A 21518-nucleotide genomic window follows, 5' to 3' on the forward strand; every position below is an offset into this window, starting at 1 on the left:
GTTGCTGGAGACCAGGAGTTCGAGACCAGCCTGGGCAATATAACAAGACCCTGTCTCTACAAAAAATTTAAAAATTTAGTGGTAGTATGCACCTGTAGACCCACTTACTCATGAAGCTGAGGCAGGAGCATCACTTGAGCCCAGGAGTTTGAGGCTGTAATGAGCCATGATTATACTACTGTCATCCCAGCCTCAGTGACAGAGCAAGACCCTGTCTCTAAAAATACATTAATTAATTAATTAAACAGAAATGTACATTGTTTATAGGGGACATATATAAAACATAAGGACACAAAAAGGTGAAATTTAAAAAGATGGAAAAGCATGATCACAAATGAATCAGCTGGTATAACTATATTAATATAAGAAAAATTAGACATTAAGGCATTATTTGAATGTACCTACTATTTTGACTTCAAAATATGTGAAAACAAATATTGACATAGCTAATAGAAGAGACAGTTTCTCAATCATCATCATAAGTTCTAATTGTAGATTTAATAATAAGCAGTTGTATCAATACATTTCAAAGAGTTAAAATAACTTTAGTGTATACAGTTTGATCACAGTGCAGTTATGCTTGTAATCAATAACAAAGATAAGTTTAAATCCTCATGTTTGAAAACAGAAATATACTTACCTTTGGATAACCCTTGTGTCAAAGAATTTATGACCATTGGTATGCAACTAAAGTAATCCTTAAGAGTGAAAATTTTAATCTTAAATATGTATTAGTATTTGAAAAAGAAAACATGAAAATGAGTGAACTCAGCATTCATCTCAAAAAGTTAGAAAAACAGCAAAATAAACCAAATAAAAAAGATTAAGGTATTAATGAAATAGTAAAATACAATTGAAAAATTAACAGAGCTGTCTTAGTTCAGGCTGCTATATCAAAATACCATAAACTGGGTGGCTTTTAAACAACAGAAGCTTATTTCTTACAGCTCTGGAGGTTGGAAGTTTGAGATCAAGGTGCCAGCAGGATTGAGTTGTTTGGGGGCCCTATTCCTGGCTTACAGACAGCCTTCTGGCTGCATTCTCACCTGGGGGAAAGAGAGCAAGCTACCTCTCTGGCCTCTTTTTAAGGGCTGTAATCCCACTGATGAGGACAATACCCTTTTTACCTCCCAAAGGCCCCCACTTCTGACATTACATTAGGGAAGGATTAGATTTCAACATATGACTTGAGGGGAGAGGGTGGGGGACATAACTGTTGAGTGTATAACAAAAGCCAAAGTTGATTCTCTAAGAGTCTAATAAAAATGATAAACCTCTTTTGAAACGAAGCACGAAAAAAGAAATGCACAAGTAGATGCTATTAGGAATGGAAAAAAAAGGAATAACACTGAAGTTAAAAATAAGAGAATGTAATCTATAACTTTATTTTTGACGGAATTTAATTGTTTTACCAATTATAACAATGAAAGTCGACAAAAAGCTAAAAATTCTAATAGTACTGTAACTATCAGACATTGAAGCCATCATTTTAAACTTTTCTACAAGTAAACTTCTGGTACAAATTGGGCTTCACTAATATTTCTTCCAAATATTTAGGGAAAAAATAATTCAACTCTCACACAAACTCTTCCAAAAGATAGGAAACAATAGGTACACTCATCAACTCATTTTGTGTGGCTAACACAACCTTGATACCAAAAACCAAAATAGTATTAGAAAGGAAAAATCAAGACAAATATCATTTATAGATAGAAAATCTGAAGTGAAATATTAAGGTAGCAAATAATATGTAATAAAGATAATATACCAAGACCAAGTTTGGTTTGTACCAGGAATTCAAAGTTGATTTATCATTAAAAAAAAAAAAAAAAAAATTCTTATCCGTTCCTGATAGAGACTCCTAGAAACTAAATTGCAAATGTCACTCTTAATGCAGGAACATTAAATGATATTAAAAATTATTCCTTTGAAATTAGGAATCACACATAGTGCCCACTATTAACACATACATTCAGCATTCTTTTCAAGTCCCTAGAGGGTGTGGAAAGGGAAGAACAAATGAAGTACTATAATACGAAACAGAAAACAAAACAGTCATTTGCAAATGATTGATATGATGACATATTTAGAAGAACCAAAAGAATCTATAGCTAAATTGTTAGAAATAACAGGTTACCAAACTCACTAGATGTAATCATATACAAAAATAAAATTTAATTTATATTAACAGTAATAAAAAATGAAAAACTTTAAATTACTATTTGTGTAGTTTTCTGTTGCTGCTATAACAAATTACCACAAAATTACTAGCTTAAAAGAACCCAAATTTATTACCTTACAATTCCATAGGTTAGAAATCAACACAGGTCTTATGGGTGTTCCCATGGCTGTGTTTCTTGTTGGAAGTTTCAGGAGAGAATCCATTTCCTTGCCTTTTTTAGCTTCTAGAGGCCATCCGCATTCCTTGGTTTCTGGTCCCATTGTCAGTATTCAAGGCCAACAACCTTGCATATCTCTATTTTTCTGAAGCCACATCTGTCTGCCCACAGCTGGAAAAAAAAAAAACTCTTTGCTTTTAAAGACCCATGTGATTAGGTTAGGCTTACCTAAATAATGCAGGATGAACTCTATGTCTGGGTCCTTAGTCACATCTGCAAAGATCCTTTTCCTATATAAGGTGACATATTCACAGGTTCCAGGGATTAGAATGTAGCCATCTATGGGGGAAGGGAGACATTACTCTGCCTATCACCCATAGTATTTCTTTTAATTCACTATCTAGAAATAAATCTTAAGAGAACATGTTCAGAATCTCCATGGGGAAAGTAGAAAATTAGAAAAATTTGTTGAGAGAAGTTAAAGAAGATTCAAACAAATTGATGAGTATAATCCATGAACATGGTATAGAAGATTCAATAAAAGATACCAGTTCTCTCAAAACTGATGTCTGTATGTATATATACACATATACACTTAATATAGTTCTAATAAAAATCCTTCCAAAAATGTATAGCTAATTCTAAATTTTATATGCATATTCAAAGAGCTCTTACCACTTCTATTTTACATAGGAATGGAGGCTCTAGCCAGGGAAATTAGGCAAGAAAAGCAAGTAAAAGGCATGCAAATTGGAATGGAAGAAGTAAAACTGTCTCTATTTGCAGATGTAATCTTATCTATAGAAAATCCTAAGGAATCCACATAAAACTAATTATAGCTAATAAACAGTTTTAGCAAGGTTTCAGGATACAAGATCAATATAGAAAATGAATTGCATTTCTATACACAGGCAATGAATAATTCAAAAATGAAATTAAGAAAAGTTTCATTTATAGCAGTATCAAAAAATAAGCCACTTAGACATAATTTAACCAAAGAAGTATAAGACATGTACAATAAAAACTTCAAAATATCATTTTAAGAAACTAAGATGTAAGTCAGTTGACCCACATCTCATGTTCATGGATTAGAAGATTTAACATTGTTAAGTGGCAGTATCCACAAATTGATCTACACATTTAACACAATTCATATCAAAATCACAACAATTTTTTTTCAGAAAGCAGTAAGCTGTTCTTAAAATTCAAATGAAAATACAAAGAATTCAAAATAGCCACGTACACACACACACACACACACACACACACACACACACAAATATTGAAAAAGAAAAAAGCTGGAGGGACTCAAACATTTCAGTTTCAAAACTTACTACAAAGCTATAGTCATCAAGACAGTGTGGTACTGGCATAAAGATACATAAATAGAGTTGAGACTCCAGAAATAAGCTTATACATTTATGGTCAATTGTTTTTTTTTACAAGGACGCCAAGAAAATTACGTGGCCAAAGAATGGTCTTTTCAATAAGTGATGTTGGAATAACTAGATATTCATCTGCAAAAAAAAAAAAAAAAAGATGTTGGGCCCCAGCTTCACACCACACACAAAAATTAATTCAAAATGGCTCAAAGACCTCAATATAAGAGCTAAAACTGTAACACTCTTAGAAGAAAACAGGTATAAATTTGTGTAACCTTGGATTAGGCAGTGGTTTCTAAGATATGACACCTAAATCACAAGCAACCAAAGGAAAAAAAAAAGATTGATTGGAATTTATCAAAATTTAAAACATTGTGCTTCAAAGAATACTAACGAGAAAGTGAAAAGATGATCCAAAGAATGGGATGAAATATTTGCAAATCACATATCTGATATCAGATTACGTCTAGTGTCCAGAATATATTAAGAACTCTTAAAAACTCAATAATAGAAGACAAATAGACTGATTTTTAGGTGGATCTGTGTATTAGTCTATTCTCATGCTGCTAATAAAGACATACCCAAGACTGGGTAATTTATAAAGAAAAAGACATTTAATGAACTCACAGTTGGATATGGCTGGCGAGACCTCACAATCATGGCGGAAGACCAAGGAGGAGCAAAAGCACATCTTACATGGCAGCAGGCAAGAGAGCATGTGCAGGGGAACTGCCCTTTATAAAAGCATCAGATCTGATCTTGTGAGACTTACTCTCATGAGAACAGCACAGGAAACCCTGCCCCCATGATTCAGTTACCTCCCACTGGGTCTTTTCCATGACACTGGAGGATTATGGGAGCTACAATTCAAGATGAGATTTGGGTGGGGACACAGCCGAACCATATCAACCTCAATAGATATTTATCCAAAGAAAATATGCAAATGACAAATGAGTGCATGAAAAGATCTTCAACATCATTTGTCATTAGGGAAATGCAAGTCAAATCCACAATGTGATACCACTTCAAACTTACTAGGATGGATGTCATCAAAAAGATTCACAATAACAAATGTTGGCAAGGATGTGGAGATATTGGAACCCTCATATATATTACTGGTTGAAATGTAAAATGGGTGCACCCTCTTTGGAAAACTGATGGTTCCTCAAAAAATTAAACATACAGTTATCACATCACCCAGCTATTCTATGCCTAGGCATATACCCAAGAAAATTGAAAACATGCATTTACCCAAACATTTGTATAAATGTTCATAGTAGCTTTATTCATAATAGCCAAAAAGTGGAAACAACCCAGATGTCCATCAGCTGATGAATGAATAAGCAAAATAACACCTTATCCATAAAATGACACGTTATTCATCCATAATAAGGGATGAAGTACTGATGCATGCTACAACATCAATAACCTTTGACGTTACTCTCAGTGAAAGAAGCCAGCTACAAAAGGCCACCTATTGTATGAATCCATTTAAATGAAATACTCAGAATAGGCAAATTTATGGAAACAGAGAGTAGATTAGTGATTGCCAAGAACTGCAAAGAGTGGGAATGGAAAGTGACTGCTAACAGGCATGGAGCTTCTTTTGCAGTGATGAGATGCTCTGGTATTCATTAGTAGTGGTGGTGATTCACATCCTTACGAATAAAGTAAAAATCACCAATGTATTCACTTTAAAGGAGCAAATGTTGTGGTATACGAGTTATATTTAAAGAAAAAGGAAAGAAAGAAATGTAAGCTGAGGAACCAGGAAACTTGAGATCAGCCTTTAAAGAATTTAAGACTTTTGCAGTGATCTAAGTGTTAGGTAAAAAGCATCTGGATAGCAAAGGGAAAGAAAACAGTGAATCGCAAGGTCTTTTGATGGAAAAATGTGATCCATTTGGTAAATGACAAGATAAATGGAGAAAAAGAAAAGAATATAGCATGCCTACAATTTTTGGAGACCGAAATAGACTACTGAATAAAATTCTTCATTTATCTTTACTTCTGAGCCTAAGCACAGTATATTTTTAAGTAAGAGGAAGTGTGGAGTAAGTAAACATAATCAAATCTGTATATTTAAATTTAAATCTGTATATTCGAAGCTAAATATCTTTCGTTTTTTGCACAAAAGAGCAGTTTTTGCCATTATGTAATTGGTAACAATATACCTTTATTTGTTTCATTAAATATTTACCAGCTCCTTTTTAGTATGTCTTGTTGTATGAACTAGTATAGAATATTTAATGTACATTGTGTTTTTGCATGTTTGAAAAAGTATCTAAAAATTATTAAACCAATCATAACAAAAGAAAGCATGTATTAAGCATATTTCACTTTATAATTTTATTTCAGTTGTATTACCACTCAATCCAAAAATTGTATTTTAATGTAGTAGGATTTTATATTAGTAAAATGTTCATGTTTTGAGTTACTCTTTGATTTATCAAATGTGTTCAGTTGGAGAATCGTCCTCAGGAAAGGCTTCAAGGAGCCTTGCACAGCATATTCCTGGCCCTGGTGGCATTGAAGGCGTAAAAGGGGCAGCATCTGGAGTTGTTGGTGAATTAGCACGAGCCAGGCTGGCACTAGATGAAAGAGGGCAGAAACTTGGCGATCTGGAAGAAAGAACTGCGGCCATGTTATCAAGTGCAGAGTCATTTTCTAAACATGCTCATGAGGTACGACTCTCAAACAGATATTTGAACAAAAAGCTCTAGGTAAAGCAAGTGTGAATGTTACTTTATTTTTATAGCTATTGTATTTCTACACCCATGAATTTGCATATATTCATTGTACAATTGCAAGTTCCTGATTTTTGCCACCAGAGGGAACCATTACAGGAATGTATCTCTAATAGCCTTTGGTTTCTTACTATAAGATTATAAATTTTGAAGGAATCTGCCCACCTTCAGGCTTTTGGTAAGCAAAGCTACCAGCTTTGCAACTGTTTCTTAAGGAATGCGATACCAATGTTAATTTTTCTTAATGCCTCAGAGTCTACTACCACTTTGTCCTAGAAAAAGAAATAATTTGCCTCCTTGAGTCTTCCAGATAGATATAAATAACTAAAATTGACAAACCTTTTTATTTAAATAAACAATACTAAGTCCGCGTTGTGGACCAATTCATATGGAGGAGTAGAGAGATGCATTTTGCAATGGTGGACCTAGGAAGTCATGATAGAGCTCAGAAACACACGCTGTAAAGTAGGGATCCCTGACTGGCCCCCTTACACCACATCGTGCTCTTAAAAAGCTGAATTTAAAAGCCTTTACGGGAAATAACACATTTTTCATTTTGACACACAGGCCTGCCTTTCCTTGGTGCTTTACACTAGGTTACTTCACACATCTAGTTCCTAGGCTGGCCCTGGAGGACATTTTGAATTTGTCTGAAGAAACAATTTTAAGGTTGTTTTTATATTTGAGCACCCAATCTGTAGTGGTAGCTCTTTTTTAAATTTTTCAACCAAAAGTCATTTCCTCCTTGCTCAAAAATGCGGAAATCTAGAATGCATGAAGAGGTAACTTGACCTGGAAGATACTTGTCTAGGGCTTCAGAGAGGTTCAGAGATCCTTTATGATTACTTGTACTATACCCAGGCACCTCAGATACAGGCTTGTGGTGGTCAATCTAGGTCAGGATTTTTGTTGTCATAACCCTACACCCGATTGTATGATCTCTACAGCATGTAGCATTTCAGTCAATTTCGGAATATATTCACACTCTGAATATTTAGGAAATATTTAATCTCACACTGTTAACTTTCCCTTCTACCAGTTGTTCTTGAGCCATATTTCAGAGTCTAAGGAAGACAGTACATTGAGGTAGTTACAATCACAGGTTCTTGAATTAGACTGCATGGGCACAAATTCCAGTTTCACTACTGCATTACCTTGGGCAACCCCTAGAAGCTTCAGTTTCATTTATTAAATGGGGAGAAAAACAGTGCCTAGCCCAAGAATGGTTATGACTGAAATCAAGTAGGAAAAGTGTGTCATGCAGTGTCTGGCTCAGAATAGATGCTCAGTAAATTTGAGATGGCAGGAGGAGTAGCATTTTCAACCTTTAATTCGCCAGTTCTTCAAGCATTATTTTTAATTCATAGTACAAAATAAAAATTATCTTACTTTTATATTACTAGCTTAGGTCACCAAATTATGTCACATTTCTAAGAAATCTGTGGAACTTCTAGGCTAGTTCTTAATGGATATCGTATTTTTTCCTCCAAATAGAATAGTTCTTACTGCTTTTAATAAGTTGAAGTAAGCATATAGTAGCACTACAGAATATTGCAGAATGACATAATGTTTTGGAAAAATATAGAAATCACTTATAAATGTTATTGTTCCGGCATTTTAAAAGCATGTTTTTCTTTTTTTTCCCCCTTTAGATTATGTTGAAATACAAAGATAAGAAGTGGTACCAGTTCTGACAACCAGAATCCAATAAGTCCAACTTCAGCCAGAAGGAAAAAAGTTTTCCATTTTTATTACATTCTTTAGGAAAGTTAACGTTAAAGGGATGTTCGTCACTGAATACTGTTCTTTCCTAGCACAGTCATGCACTGTTTTACCTCAGTCATGTGGCTTTAACTGAGGAGTGTTCACACGCACTCGAAATGGAGTATATGGTGTGTGCCAGTTATGAGTTGACCATTTGGGAATTAAACAGGTCACACGTGACAGATGAAGAAACCAAGGGGGCTGCTGAGGAGACCTGGTGCAGGGACTAATCCTGGATCATTCCTGTATTAAACTTTCATATGCCAAAAGGGTTTGTGCCGTTTTATCTGCCATCAGTGTTTGACCTGTTTAGGGCAGAGGCAATAAGTCAGAAGTCTTGAAGTTGAAATAGTTATATGTGTGTCATTGGACTGGATTATAAACAGCTGTCTTGGACTTTCCCTCTCTTAACACTGACTGGTCATCAGTATCATTAGTGAAAAAGAAACAAATTGTTTGTTATCATCTCTTTAGACAGATAAGCTGAATGGTGGGCTTTAAATAATAAAAACATACACATAGTTGACTTGTGTATGAGCTACTCTTGGATTCTTGTTATTATAGACTTGTATTTAGTTCATATTTTGTCAAAAGCAAAACAAGAAGATACATCACTTTTCATTGAAAAGAAAAGTGTAGAGCATGACTGAATTGCTCATCATTCTGGGAGTTTCCATGTAGTGGCTATGCAGTGTGGAAAGTGAGAAAAACCTCCATTGTGGTGAGGAGAATACTTCAATGTCCCTTGTCCTTGTTCTCATTAATTCAGCTAAAGGTGGATTTGACCAAAATAATGCTGGTTAAATTTGTAGAAATGTTGAAATTGGCTGTGTTTTAAATTTTGCTTGAATTTTTATAAAATGTTTAACCAAATGTACCTTTGCATTCTTTAATTAAAATTGCTTAAAAAAAAACTTTCATTATTTCAGTAAAATGCTCAGCTCCCTTTTCAAAATGCCCTTTATTTGCTAACTGTTCCAATACACTCAGGTGATGAGCCAATTAAATGTTAGTGCACATGCTATCGCATGGAAAATTACAAGCATCTGTTGTCAATAATTATATAAGAGTTTAGTCTGATGACCTACAAAATATTTTGTGTAGAAATATACTATAAATCTGTACATATCCTTTCAAGGTTTTAAAAAACCAAAAAGAAAGGAAAATATGTACACTGTGATAACTAAATTATTTCTGTATTGGAATATAATACAATTTGAGACCAGCAATGGACAATGAATGATTGTTTCATAGAATAGCATTACGGGCAGGAAAGAAACCACCTAGTAGATCTAGAAGTAAGCAATCTCAGAATACAGACTAATCTGAGATTATTATTGATTGTTGTTAAAGCAACCCAGCAAAAGCAAAATGGAAGCATTAAAATTAATGTTAATGAAATTTAAATATTGTCTTCTATAAAAAATTCCTTTAAATGATTTTGTTTTTTCATTAAGAGATAATCAGAGCACAAATTGATAGTAAACAGGATGGTTGTTTTTCTATTCTATATGATCATTAAAGGAATATGTAGGACATCTTAACTTTTTCATACAGTCTGTTATGCATATTTTCCTCTACTTTTCATTAATAAAGCTTTTATGTTTACATTTTATAACATGCACTACTAGATGCAAAAGTTTACATCAAAGTTTACTTTAAATATCATTTGGTAGGGACTAAATGTGTGTGATAGAGATAATTGATCAAGCCAAAAGAAATATTTTTTAAATAAGCCCTTTTCAAAAGTTTTTGAATTTATAGAAAGCACCAATGAATAACATATTTCTGTTTCGTTAATGTCAGCTGCCTGAACATTCAGCAGTTTATAAATTGCTTAATTTGTGTTATCTATTATCCAGTAAACCCATAGTTCCATGATATGTCACAGGAATTGTTAGGTCCTATTTTAAAGGTACAGTTTTGTGAATGTCATCAATAAAATCAACAGTTATGGATTTGAAGAAGTTGGGAAAGCATTATGTAGATTAATATACTGGTTGGTTCCCTATCTATGTGGAAGGTCATATTAGCTGCAATTATTTAATTTGCTGTGTTATTTTGTGTTATATAACACAAATATATTTGTATATTAACTTCATTTTTACTGTCATTTTTCCTGTTGTATACAAAATGAACTAATCTTGTAATTATTTTCAAATATAGAAGTATATACATTAGATGGATTTCCAAGATTTTGTAAGAAAATCTTAAATCAGTGTTTTGAGTTATTTAATTTTTAAATTAATCTACAAATTATGCACAACAAACTAGAGACTCAGTTAGGATTAGAAAGCTTAAAGTATGTTTGAGTGTAGGAAATAAGCTTCTCAGAGTTATACTTGATTCTGTCTGTAGATAAGAGACAGTCTACAGTAATAACTAACCCAGGGAATTTACTGTAATTTGAGAGGTAACATCTCTATTTTTTTCTTTTTAAATACAGAAAGTAATAGTCACCAGCAAGCCACGATTTCAGGAAAACTGACTAAAAAAAAAAGTCAAAATAGAAAATATCAGAAAAATGAAAGATTTTTGTGTGCCCTCTCCATATCCTCATTGTTTTTGTTGCATTTGTCCTTGACTCTAAAATCACTGAAGTATTCATGATTAGTAGTTTGTAAGTAGGAAGTGGTTTTTCTGTATGTACCATATATCCAGTTCATTTCAGTTTTCAAACTAAAATCCATATGTATTTGCTGAGAAAGTTATTTGAAATCTTATATTCTGACAAATTCTGTACATTACATCCATTTGAAGTTTTGCATCATCTTAACACTTTTGCTTTGCATTTCAATTGTACAAAGTGTTTCCAAAAAAATGGTTATAGATTCGACTGAGCTATTACTAACTTCTCCATTTGATTTTTTATGGATGTGAAAAATGCTGCTACTTGTCTATGTTATTATGTGTAAGTATATTACAATTTAATTAAGTACAATAGTTTAAAGAACGAAGCAATTTTTTTTTTTTTGGCTTAGAACTTCTTAATTGTAGGTTCCTCTGAAGCGATTTCATGTAGATATGTGAGTGTTTTAAACAAGTCTGAAAGTGTTACATACTTTTAGGTTACAGGGGTGCTGGGGAGACAGCTGAGGAAAGGAAGAATATGTGGAAGACACCACGGAGTTCAAAGTTTTACCCTGAGTTCTATCTTCCATGTATGTTTTGCTTAAGGCATTTCTCATGTGACATTAGAAAAGCTATATCCAAAGGTAAATTTTTTGTGGCAAAGATTTATTTTACACTTTAACTTTTGGGATTTTATTTGTTTCAGCAAAATAAAGAGCACTGAACTTTAAACTTGAATTTTTTCTGCACTTTTTTAGGTAATGAAAACTTTTTATTATCATTTAATCCACATTGCTCAGTTTAAACCAAGTGATACATGTGTATAAAACATACCAAAATCATGAATATGCTGCTAGCTGTACCTTAAATAAACTGATCAGTTTTAAAACCTTTAATAGGGTTTTATATAGATTTAAAAAATAGTAAAATAATCTGCTGTATGTTTCAGTGTTCTTGGTCTTAAATTATTGCAACACTTTCAGATTTGTTTTAAGATCATACAGTAACATGTTATATTTATACATACTGCTAGAAAATATACTTTTAGTTTTAAAATGGAATTTTTATAAATGTACTTTAATTTTAAAATGGTGAACTTGTTAAGTTTAAGTCAAAGTACTTAAAAAGTATGTATATTATCCATACAAAAAGTTATGTTTTACGCTTATAATAAGAAATACTGGTATCTCATATCGAGATACAATTAATTTTAAAAAATCATACATCATTTAAAAATCTTCACACATGAACAGGAAAGATATCATTTCTATGCTTTAAAAAACCCTCTATTGAGCATTTTCAAATATTAATTTTATTTTGGGGGAAAATGCCCACAACAATAATTGCAAGATCTTTCTCAATAGCTTCAGTTTGCTGTTGGATGCCTACCTTAACTATTGTTTTAAAATATAGATATATATATATATATTTAAAATAGTTTTCCAGGTATTTTCTTCTACCTTTTTTAAAAATAAATTTCCAAAAATGAAAACAGAGTTTATGTATTTTTGTCAATGAAGGTTTTTATTTTGTAGTTTATAGAATTTGTTCCTTATCAGTTTGATACTTGATCAACATTCTTAGACTTTTTAATCTGTATTTACTTTGGGGGGAAAAAAGCACTCCTATATCTTAAATGTCCTTCTTTTTTCTTTTCCCTTTTAGGGTATTTGTTCTCTTGGATTGAAATTTATGCCCACAGATTTTTCTTTTCATTTGAAAATGAATGTGAAGATACTGTTTACAGCTTTTGTTAATTGCACTTTTCATCACTCTGATCAATTTCTTGTAAAGTGCTATGGGAATTATTTTTCCTGTGAATATTAATGATTTTACTACTGCCTCCGAAGTTTTAAAAAAGGTTCTGTAGACAGAAAACAGTTGTTGCAACCAAAAACAACCAAAAAAAGAAAAAAAGGGAAAACTGGCTTACCTTTCTCAGATGAATTAAATGATTTTAATAACTTCCCAATTACCAGGGTTATAACATTGCTTTCTTCAGTTATTAATACAGTCAAATTAATTTTAACAATATAGGCACAATTCATTTACAAATTCAGTACAGTAGTCCAGGGCTACATGTAAGTGGTCTCTTTATTTTATTCTTTACATCAGAAAAATCATGAATGTCAGTTTTGCCAGTATTTTACAATGAGGCTTATCGTTTAAAATTTTATAGTGTATGACATGTAAATAAACCAGTATTTATTGTAGGTTGTTTGATTCAGGCATTTCAAATGGATATAGGTTAATGGCAATGGAATCCTATTTATTTGGTAGTTGGTTTTGTTTGTTTTTGTTTATTTACTTTTGCTATTTGTTTTGTATTGTCTAAACTTTGCTTCAACTGAAGACAGTGTAAGGAGTTGAAAATACAATCAACATAGCAATGGAAAGCAATGCAAAGAGGGTAAATCTTGTTTTAATTTTTTTAACTTTTTTTTTTTGTAAATAAATAGTACTGTGATACTTTAGGTGTGACCTCTATTCCACATGATAGTTAGAACCAGAAAAACACTTTTGCTTTCTAGTTATACTATTGGTTCATTGTAAATGCATTACCAAAAGACAATATGAAAAAGAGCAAGATTAAGTTTTTCTAACATTGTCCACTTCAGGGGCAAGCATGCTTGGTATAGAGCTCTAGCTTGTGTATACCTTAAACTGTAACTTGCAGGTGTTTTTCAGTTGCTGCACTTTTTATTTAATCTTGCTCAGTCCCAGTAACTATCTCAAAGGTAATTGCTGGAATATGCATTTTGAAATACGGTTTAAAAAAAATCTGTGTATTGTTTCATCTAAAAAGAAAAGCACTATTGGAAACACTAAAAACGTGTTAAACTTTGTAGTTATTTTGCATTCCTGTACTTTACAAACTGTCATCACAGCAAAAAGTTTAAAATTAGGTAATGAAATATTTTTGTAAATAAATACCGTTAAGCTGGTATTTTAAAAAATGTATTATAAATTAATTAATGTTTCTGGAAAATGTTCATATATATGTATATGAATGTCTCTTTATGCTGAAGGGCTCTGATTGGGCAAAATAAAATACTCTAATCTCTCCTGAAACTAAACAAGCCCTTTTTCCTGGAAAATTTGTTCTAATTTTTTTCTGAATTATGGAATTAATCTATTAATAACCTAAGAAAATAATTGATTAAAAAAATAGATTCCCACATTTACTGAAAGTGAAGCTAATCATATAACTCAGGTAATACCAACTATATTTTTCTTGACTATCTGGAGTTTTTGGTGAAAAACACCTACCCCTGTGTTGGGTGGATTGAGAGTAAAGGAGACAGGGTGAGAGTTAAGGAATAGGAATGAAATCTGAGTGCATGCTTCTTGGCCTTTAGTGTGTACGCGAATCACCTGAGGATCATATTAAAATACAGATTCTGATTCATTGCATTTGAGGTGTGGCCTGATTTTGCATCTCTAACAAGCTTCAAGCTAATATAGATGCTGCTGGTCTTGGAACATACTTTGAGTAGCAAGGATATGGATAGTTTCCACAGAGTGTCAGTGTCCAACTACTTGTACGAAAAATGAGTATCACATTAATGAATCTTGAAAAATGTAAAGAAGACCAAACAGTACTTACCACTGTTTCTGTTGTGTTTTAGAATAAAAGACGTAGTAGTTCTCTTATTACATTGAAGGATTATTTGATTTTGAAATATATATATTTTTTATTGTGACACATGCTTATCCCACATGGTGGCAGTCTCGTCTCACTGTGTGAGCCTTTAGCAAGAAGCGTTGCAGTACAATTTTACATGGGAAAAAAACATAGACTTTCCAAAGGATAATTTTCATGATACTTTTTTATCCAGAAAGTTACTAAACACTCTTAGATATGGAACAGATAATATGTTCCTAAGGTATTATAAAGTTATGTAAATCATTTGGTAGAGTGATCTGGTTTATTATCAAAAAATTTTTCAGTGTCTTTCTAGGAAATAGAGGCATAAAGTGATAAAATTTTAAAAACTGAAGATTGTCTTCATGTCTCCGGTCATGCCTTTTTAAAGAACATTATATTGGGTATGTGCTGTGTAAATAGTACAGTGCTATCCACTGCTTTAGATAAAAATTTAAGTTGTCATTGTAACCCTTCATAGGAATTTACAGGAAGATTCTGATTTTCTAGGAGTTTACAGGAAGATTCTGATTTTCTTCCATTAGTTTAAAAATTGTATGTTTGCCCCATTTTTATGCTTTTTTCAGTTTTTGTACAAAAGTGTTTTGTCCTAGGTACCTTAAGGAAAGCTTTCAAAATGCTTTTTTTAGACTAAAACATCTTTTAAATAAGAAAATACTTACCTGTCATTTTATTTTTTTCAAATTCAGTCTGTCTTTTTAATATCAATAATGTATATTCTGTTAACTTTAAACTTATGGAAATATTCTAACATTTAGTTTTAGTCATTTTATATGATTTTATACTGTTTTAAAAAACAAAACCCCATAGCTTCTTTTTTTAATAACTTTTCAAAAACAGCATGAAAGTAAGATACATATTTAACAAGGTTCCAACAAAATAGAATATTCTGTTAGTAGCAAAGGAAGGGAGTCTGAGGACTTCATTTAAAGTTATTAAGGAGAGAGAGAGAGAGTGTGTGTGTGTGTGTGTGTGTGTGTGTGTGTGTGTGTGTGTGTCCCACCAAACAAGAGACCTCCTTGTTCATCTCTCCCGGGCTGAGTTCGACTCTGAACCTTTCTTTCCACTTCTCTCTGCTGCTTCCATTTCATTTCTGTTCCTGCCCCCCATGCCTCTCACCCCAATTCTCTTTACTCTTTAGTATGTTTTATTTTAGCTAACTACTTTTCTTTGCCCATTTAGCAGGGAAATAATGCAATCCCTCTGTTTCCCAGGGCCCCTCCTAAATACTGAGTAGATTTGTAAATAATGTTTGTAAATACAATAACGCCATCCCTACTCTTTGTTACCTCCAGACACTCAAAATATCAGCAGATAAAGCAAAACACATTAGTACATGGAAGAAATACTGTGCTGAGGCTGAGAATTGTAACTCCCAAGAGCACTGCAGGAGTATGTTTGGATAGAACACACTGCTGCTTCACTAGGGTGTTTATCCAGCTTGCTTTTTTATTTTTTGAGACACAGTCTCACTCTCACACAGGCAGAAGTGCAGTGGTACAATCATGGCTCACTGCAGCCTTGAACTCCTGGGTTCAAGCAATCCTCCTGCCTCAACCTGCCAAGTAGTTTGGACTACAAATGTGCCTCACCACTTCCAGTTAAGTTTTTTATCTTCATTTTTTTGTAGTGACAGGTTCTCACTATCTTGTCCAGTCTGGTCTTGAACCCCTGGGCTCAAGCGATCCTCCTCCCTTGACTTCCCAGAGTGCTGGAATCACAGGCATGGGCCACCACACCCAGCCAGGTGTTTTAGCTTTCAAGATCAAAGATGCCCAGAAATTACAGCATTGCATGAGTACAAAAGTTAGAAGACCACACATTTCAGAAAGTGAAAACCTCCATGTTCCTTTAATAACAATGTGACTGCAGATACCATTAGTCTAAGCAGTGGTTCTCCAACTTGAACATCAGAATCTCCTGGATACACAACTTTTGTGAAAACACATCACTGGATCACATCCCCAGAGTTTCTGATTCAGTAAGCCTGCAGTGGGGCCCGAGGATTGGTATCTTAACAAGTTCCCAGCTGATGCCGAAGGTGCCAGTCTGCAAACCACACTTACTGAGAACCCTGATGTAGAGCAATGCCCTAGAAGCAGTGTCTTCTCTGTATCACATGGTTTAGATGTCTCCGTTACTATCTGGTAATGAAATTATAGATAATATGCTTGCCTATACATTCAATTTTTAAAAATCAACATAGTGTCTGAACTAATGTGCCAGAGATATGAAATGAAAGCAATTTATAATTTTTAAAAAAGTATTTCAATATGCAAATGCTGAGGTTACACACAAGAAGAACAAAGACAAGTCACACATATTTCTAAAACGTTCCGAAGGGGGTATCCCCTCCTAACCTCACTCCCGTTGTAGCCTCACTTTGCCCCTCACACCCTCTGACGTTTGAACCCTTGGGCCAGAGAGTAGAACCTGCAATAGGACCCATCCTTTTTCAAATTTGTTCCCATGCAGTGGGACTGTCACGAATATGTTTATAAATGTTATGCCATAATATATACATGAAAGTATAGACTACTTAAATGCTAGTTTGGAATTTTAGAGCAGTTTGCATTAATTCCTCTTACAAATTTATATTCACTTTCTTATTTAAGCTGTTTTTGAACTAGAGTGAATTAGAGAGCCAAGACTTATCTTTATAAATTTGTGCCTGAAACACACTAATCAATATATGGTATGCTTCTCCTAACAAAAACTCATCTTGACAAACAGAGCAATGAATTCATTCTAGGAAGATTATATAGATTCTTACAGATTATAAACATCTATTATATAACATTAGTATTGGAAACTTTCACTTTTTCTGATAACCAAAACTCAATCTGTGATTATTGGTTAATTATTAAACAAGTCCATTTGCCTAGTATTTAAGTGCATTAAAAGTGGGCATTTATATAGAGCTCATTTCAAATGCCAAGCACGTCTGTCTGAGTGTGAAGACCAGAATTCTGTCCCTAAGTTTACCAGCAATACCAATGACCTTTTCCAAGTTAACCTCTATTTGCCTGAGTTTTGTTATTTATAAAACCGTGATCTAAATACTAGCCTTCCCTACCTCAGCCACTGTAGGGAATGTAATAACGTCTGAAAATCATTAGAAAAACAATTAGCATACACAAAGATTTATGATCTTAAAAATCTTAGTCGTTTAGAAGCTCTGTGAATCAGATATATTTGAATAAGGAAGAACAAATAGCAAGTCTTATATCAGGATCAGCAAATCAGTATTATTACTGCTATAATCAGGATAAAAATTGATACATTATCTTTAATAAAAGAATGAAGATCAAAATGTCTTTGAATTTCATAAGCACCTTTCGTTTCAACTGAATTTTTTCTTTGTTGTGTGTTTACTCCAGGGAGCCAGCTCAGGATGCGTTTATTGCCAGCTATCATCAGGATACAAGATCTTACTGAAATTACTCTGGTTACCTTTCAAAACAGAACTGTAACCAAATCCCAGTACCTGGAAATTTGTTTTTTAAAACAAATGTATTTATATTTGTCTGTTTTCATACTATAAAGAACTGCCAGAGACTGGGTAATTTAGAAAGGAAACAAGTTTAATTGACTCAAGTTCAGCATGGCTAGGGAGGCCTCAGGAAACTTACACTCATGGTGGAAAGTGAAGAGGAAGCAAGGCACTTTCTTCACAAGGTGGTAGGAAGGAGAAATGCAGAGTGAAATGTGGGGGAAGAGCCCTTTATAAAACCATCAGATCTTGTGACACCTCACTATCATGAGAAAAGCATGGGGGAAACTGTCCCCATGATTCAATTACCTCCACCTGATCTCTCCCTTGGCACCTGGGGACTATGAGGATTAGGAGGATTACAATTCAAGATGAGATTTGGGTGGGGACACAAAGCCTAACCATGTCAATATTTAAATTCATATATGCATATTTTTTCCTATCTGGTATAGACAGTAAATACTTTTGGAGGTTTAGTCATAGCATAGTTAACATACTTTTCACAGATTCTTTATAAAATATCTCAATATAAAAATTATCTTAATTTAGAATGTTATCTTCCTGTTCTTTTATAGAGCAGATTGCCTCTCAAAGACTTAATTAAGCAGGTAAAAAAGAGACTTTGGAGTCAGGCCAATGCTGCTTACCAATAGTGTGACTTTAAGTTACTTAAGCTTTTTTTTTTTAAAAAAAAAAAAAAAAAAACTTATTTCCTTCAAATATTAAATAATAGAAACAGTGCCAACTTTGAGATTGTTTGATGGACTCCATGTAAGAATGTGAGTCACATAACTCAGCAGAGCAGCCTCCCTGTGGGGGCACCCTGGGCTCTCCAGCCTGAGACAGCAGAGTATAGGAACTTGAGTGTGGGCTCTTTCCAGACTTTAACTGCCTGCTCCATGATATGCATGGCCTTGAGCAGGCTATGAAACTTCTCTACGCCTCAGTTTCCTATCTGTAAAATGGTAATGATTATGAAGTTAATATAGTACATCTCAAATGCTCAGGATAGTATCTGATGCATACAGCATTGCATTAAACTAAGATGCCACTGAGAGTAATATGTGCCATTATTGGTACTACTAACAAACAAAAACACTGGTAATTTGTGTTTAAAAGACATATCCTGATTTTTTAAAGATTTAAAACTATGAAGATGGCTATCTAGGAATTGGTGATCTGGTAGTAAGCACTCAATGAATGTTTACTGTTATTAGGAGTACTAGAAAATAAGACTCCCTCCCTCTGTCTACTTGTAATCACATGCATTCCAAGAGTAACCACCATGAAGAGGAGGAAAGACCTAAAAATTCCTCTCAAGTGCTTCCCTAGGCACAGGTCTTTTGAATGCTGCGCTACTGAAGCTAGGATTCACATGGTTCCGTCTTAGGTCAGGACTGTTTGTAGGTCCTATTGTTAGGTCCTGTTGTTTCAGGCAGCAGAATACAAAAGATGAAAAGTACTTATAAAGGAATTCCATTCTTTATTGACTCTCTCAAAAGATTCTAAAAGGGACCCAACTCAAAGCCCCCAAAACACTTCTCATAGCCCTTTTCCTTTTGAATTTTTAATTGCCCAGTACTCCCTGAAGACTTTCAAATGTCAAATGTTCCATCCTTCTCTCCCCTTAGACTCTGGCTCCCAGATATGTATTAAGAATGATCTAAGCTTTCACTTGCATCTCAGGTAAGATGCTCTTCTGTGTCCCTCTGGGTCACTAGACACTGGGGGAGCTCTCTCCAGTCCTCAGCTGAACCATGCCATCCAGGTATCTACTCTCATGTGGGGACCGCCTGTGTATTCCAAGGGGAAGTAGAGCCTCAGTCCTCCCACTTATCCTCAAATTCTTCAGAGAGTTCCATCGTTCCTCTCCCCTCCTTAGAGCTAACCCCTGGGGGTCCGGCTCAGAACCCTGTCCACACTCTACCCCAGCCTGTGAGATTATTTTCATCTGCATAGCATGATAACAATTATCTGTATGCCTCTGGTTTAGGCCAGAACCTCAGCTCTTGATGTTTAAACCAAGCTGCCATTTACTCAAAAACTTTTTGCCTGAAAGCTATTGTCTATACCATAATCTCCAAAACTCTCTTTTGAAATTCAATTCCCAGCTTTTTTTTTTATTCAACAAATATTTGTTGGACCCCAGGACGTGTCAGACTCTATTTTAAATATTGGAAATAGAAAAGTGACCGAGACCCTGTTCTGGAACTTGTATCAGTGACAGTGACATTTTTCTTTCTGTTTGGTTCTTCATCAATAGCTCTAACTTCAGGACAAAGAGGAGGAAGTGCCCTAGCTAACCGAGCAAGGAAAAACAAGGTATTTTGTATATGGGATGAGGAAATAAATCATTTAAAACATAAAATACTATCCCACCATAAATATTTATTAAGCACATATTCTCCCTTCCTCCACACTCACATCTAATCAGTTGCCAGTGGGTCCTTTTTACTTCCCACGTGGCTCTCAACTTTCCCTTTTTTTCCCTGCTGCTCAGGGCCTGCCGCTGTTTCTGCATCTTCAGCCTGAATTACTGATACTCCTGATGGGTCTCCCTGTTCAGTCTCCTCCTTCTCCAATGTGTTCTATCCCAGCTCCAATTAGGCTGTTTCCTATTGAAACTTTTCAAAGGCTCCTCCAGTGACCCTAGTGAAGTTCAGCGCTTTAATTTGGTGAGATGTCTCCTTAACATTCTACCTTCCATATTTCATTATTTGGGTATCATACCCCATTCTAAGCTAATTTCCCGCAATTTGCTCTTCCCCTAAACAATATGTGCTGTCAATTCTCTGTGCTTTTGTTCATGCCTGGAATACCCTTCATTTCCTTCTTAGCCTGGAAAAATTCCCATAACCCTTTATGATCAAGCTGCAATATCACTTTCTTCTCTTGAAGGCCGTCCATGCCCCAGGATTAATTGCTCTCTCCTCTCTGCTACACCACTTCTTCATACCATTAGATAAGTCCTTATCACAATGTGGTCTAGCTTGTTGTTCTTGCATACATCTCCTCTCCAGTTTATGAGTTCTTTGAGAAAGGCTGTTTGTCCATCTTTTTAGCTCCAGTATCTGGCATAATACCTGTCAATTAGAAGGTGTTCGTTAATATTGGTTGATAATGTTTTTACATATTTACACACATGCATAAACCATCATATGTACCTACACGCACATATATTTTTAGATGTTTTGTAATTTAATATATCCGTATTTCTGTCCTAAATGTTCAGTAGCTGCTGATGTTTCTTTTGGAACGTATCCATAAATACAAAATTGCCTTTTATTTTGAATAGACTAATATTCTATTTGAAGGCTTTCATAGTTCTGACAGTTTTGACAGCTTGACTGTATCTGAAAGTTTATTATTAATCTGTAACACTTTATATTCTGTACTCTGTATCTATATTTAATATGCTGTTTAAATAAGATTCCTCAGATAGTTAAGAAGACACAGTCAAAAACATGAGTCAAAGGCAAGAACTTAGGCATTGCCAAATCAAGTGATACAATGGTTTGAAATAAGCTATCAGGTTCTCATTCTGTTTCATGATCA

At 34.1% G+C, this 21518-nt stretch overlaps 1 protein-coding gene and 1 long non-coding RNA gene across 12 annotated transcripts in view; one reads left to right on the forward strand and one right to left on the reverse strand.

Moving 5' to 3' along the window:
- STXBP5 (syntaxin binding protein 5) overlaps positions 1-13880 on the forward strand; it is a 186057-nt gene extending 172177 nt beyond the window's left edge. For 8 of the 11 annotated variants that reach the window (XM_047418197.1, XM_047418198.1, XM_047418199.1 and 5 more), the window contains 2 exons: positions 6185-6405; positions 8121-13880. In XM_047418197.1, the coding sequence (XP_047274153.1) occupies positions 6185-6405; positions 8121-8162 (263 nt within the window). In that variant the 3' untranslated portion in view covers positions 8163-13880. The remainder of the gene's footprint in view (positions 1-6184; positions 6406-8120) is intronic. The other 3 variants (XR_007059202.1, XR_007059203.1, XR_007059201.1) reach the window with 2 other exon arrangements.
- LOC124901421 (uncharacterized) overlaps positions 12105-21518 on the reverse strand; it is a 32513-nt gene continuing 23099 nt past the window's right edge. Inside the window, exon 3 of the long non-coding RNA XR_007059802.1 lies at positions 12105-21046. This is a non-coding gene — a long non-coding RNA (uncharacterized LOC124901421). The remainder of the gene's footprint in view (positions 21047-21518) is intronic.

Source organism: Homo sapiens, chromosome 6 (genome assembly GCF_000001405.40).
Source record: "Homo sapiens chromosome 6, GRCh38.p14 Primary Assembly".
NCBI lineage: Eukaryota > Metazoa > Chordata > Mammalia > Primates > Hominidae > Homo > Homo sapiens.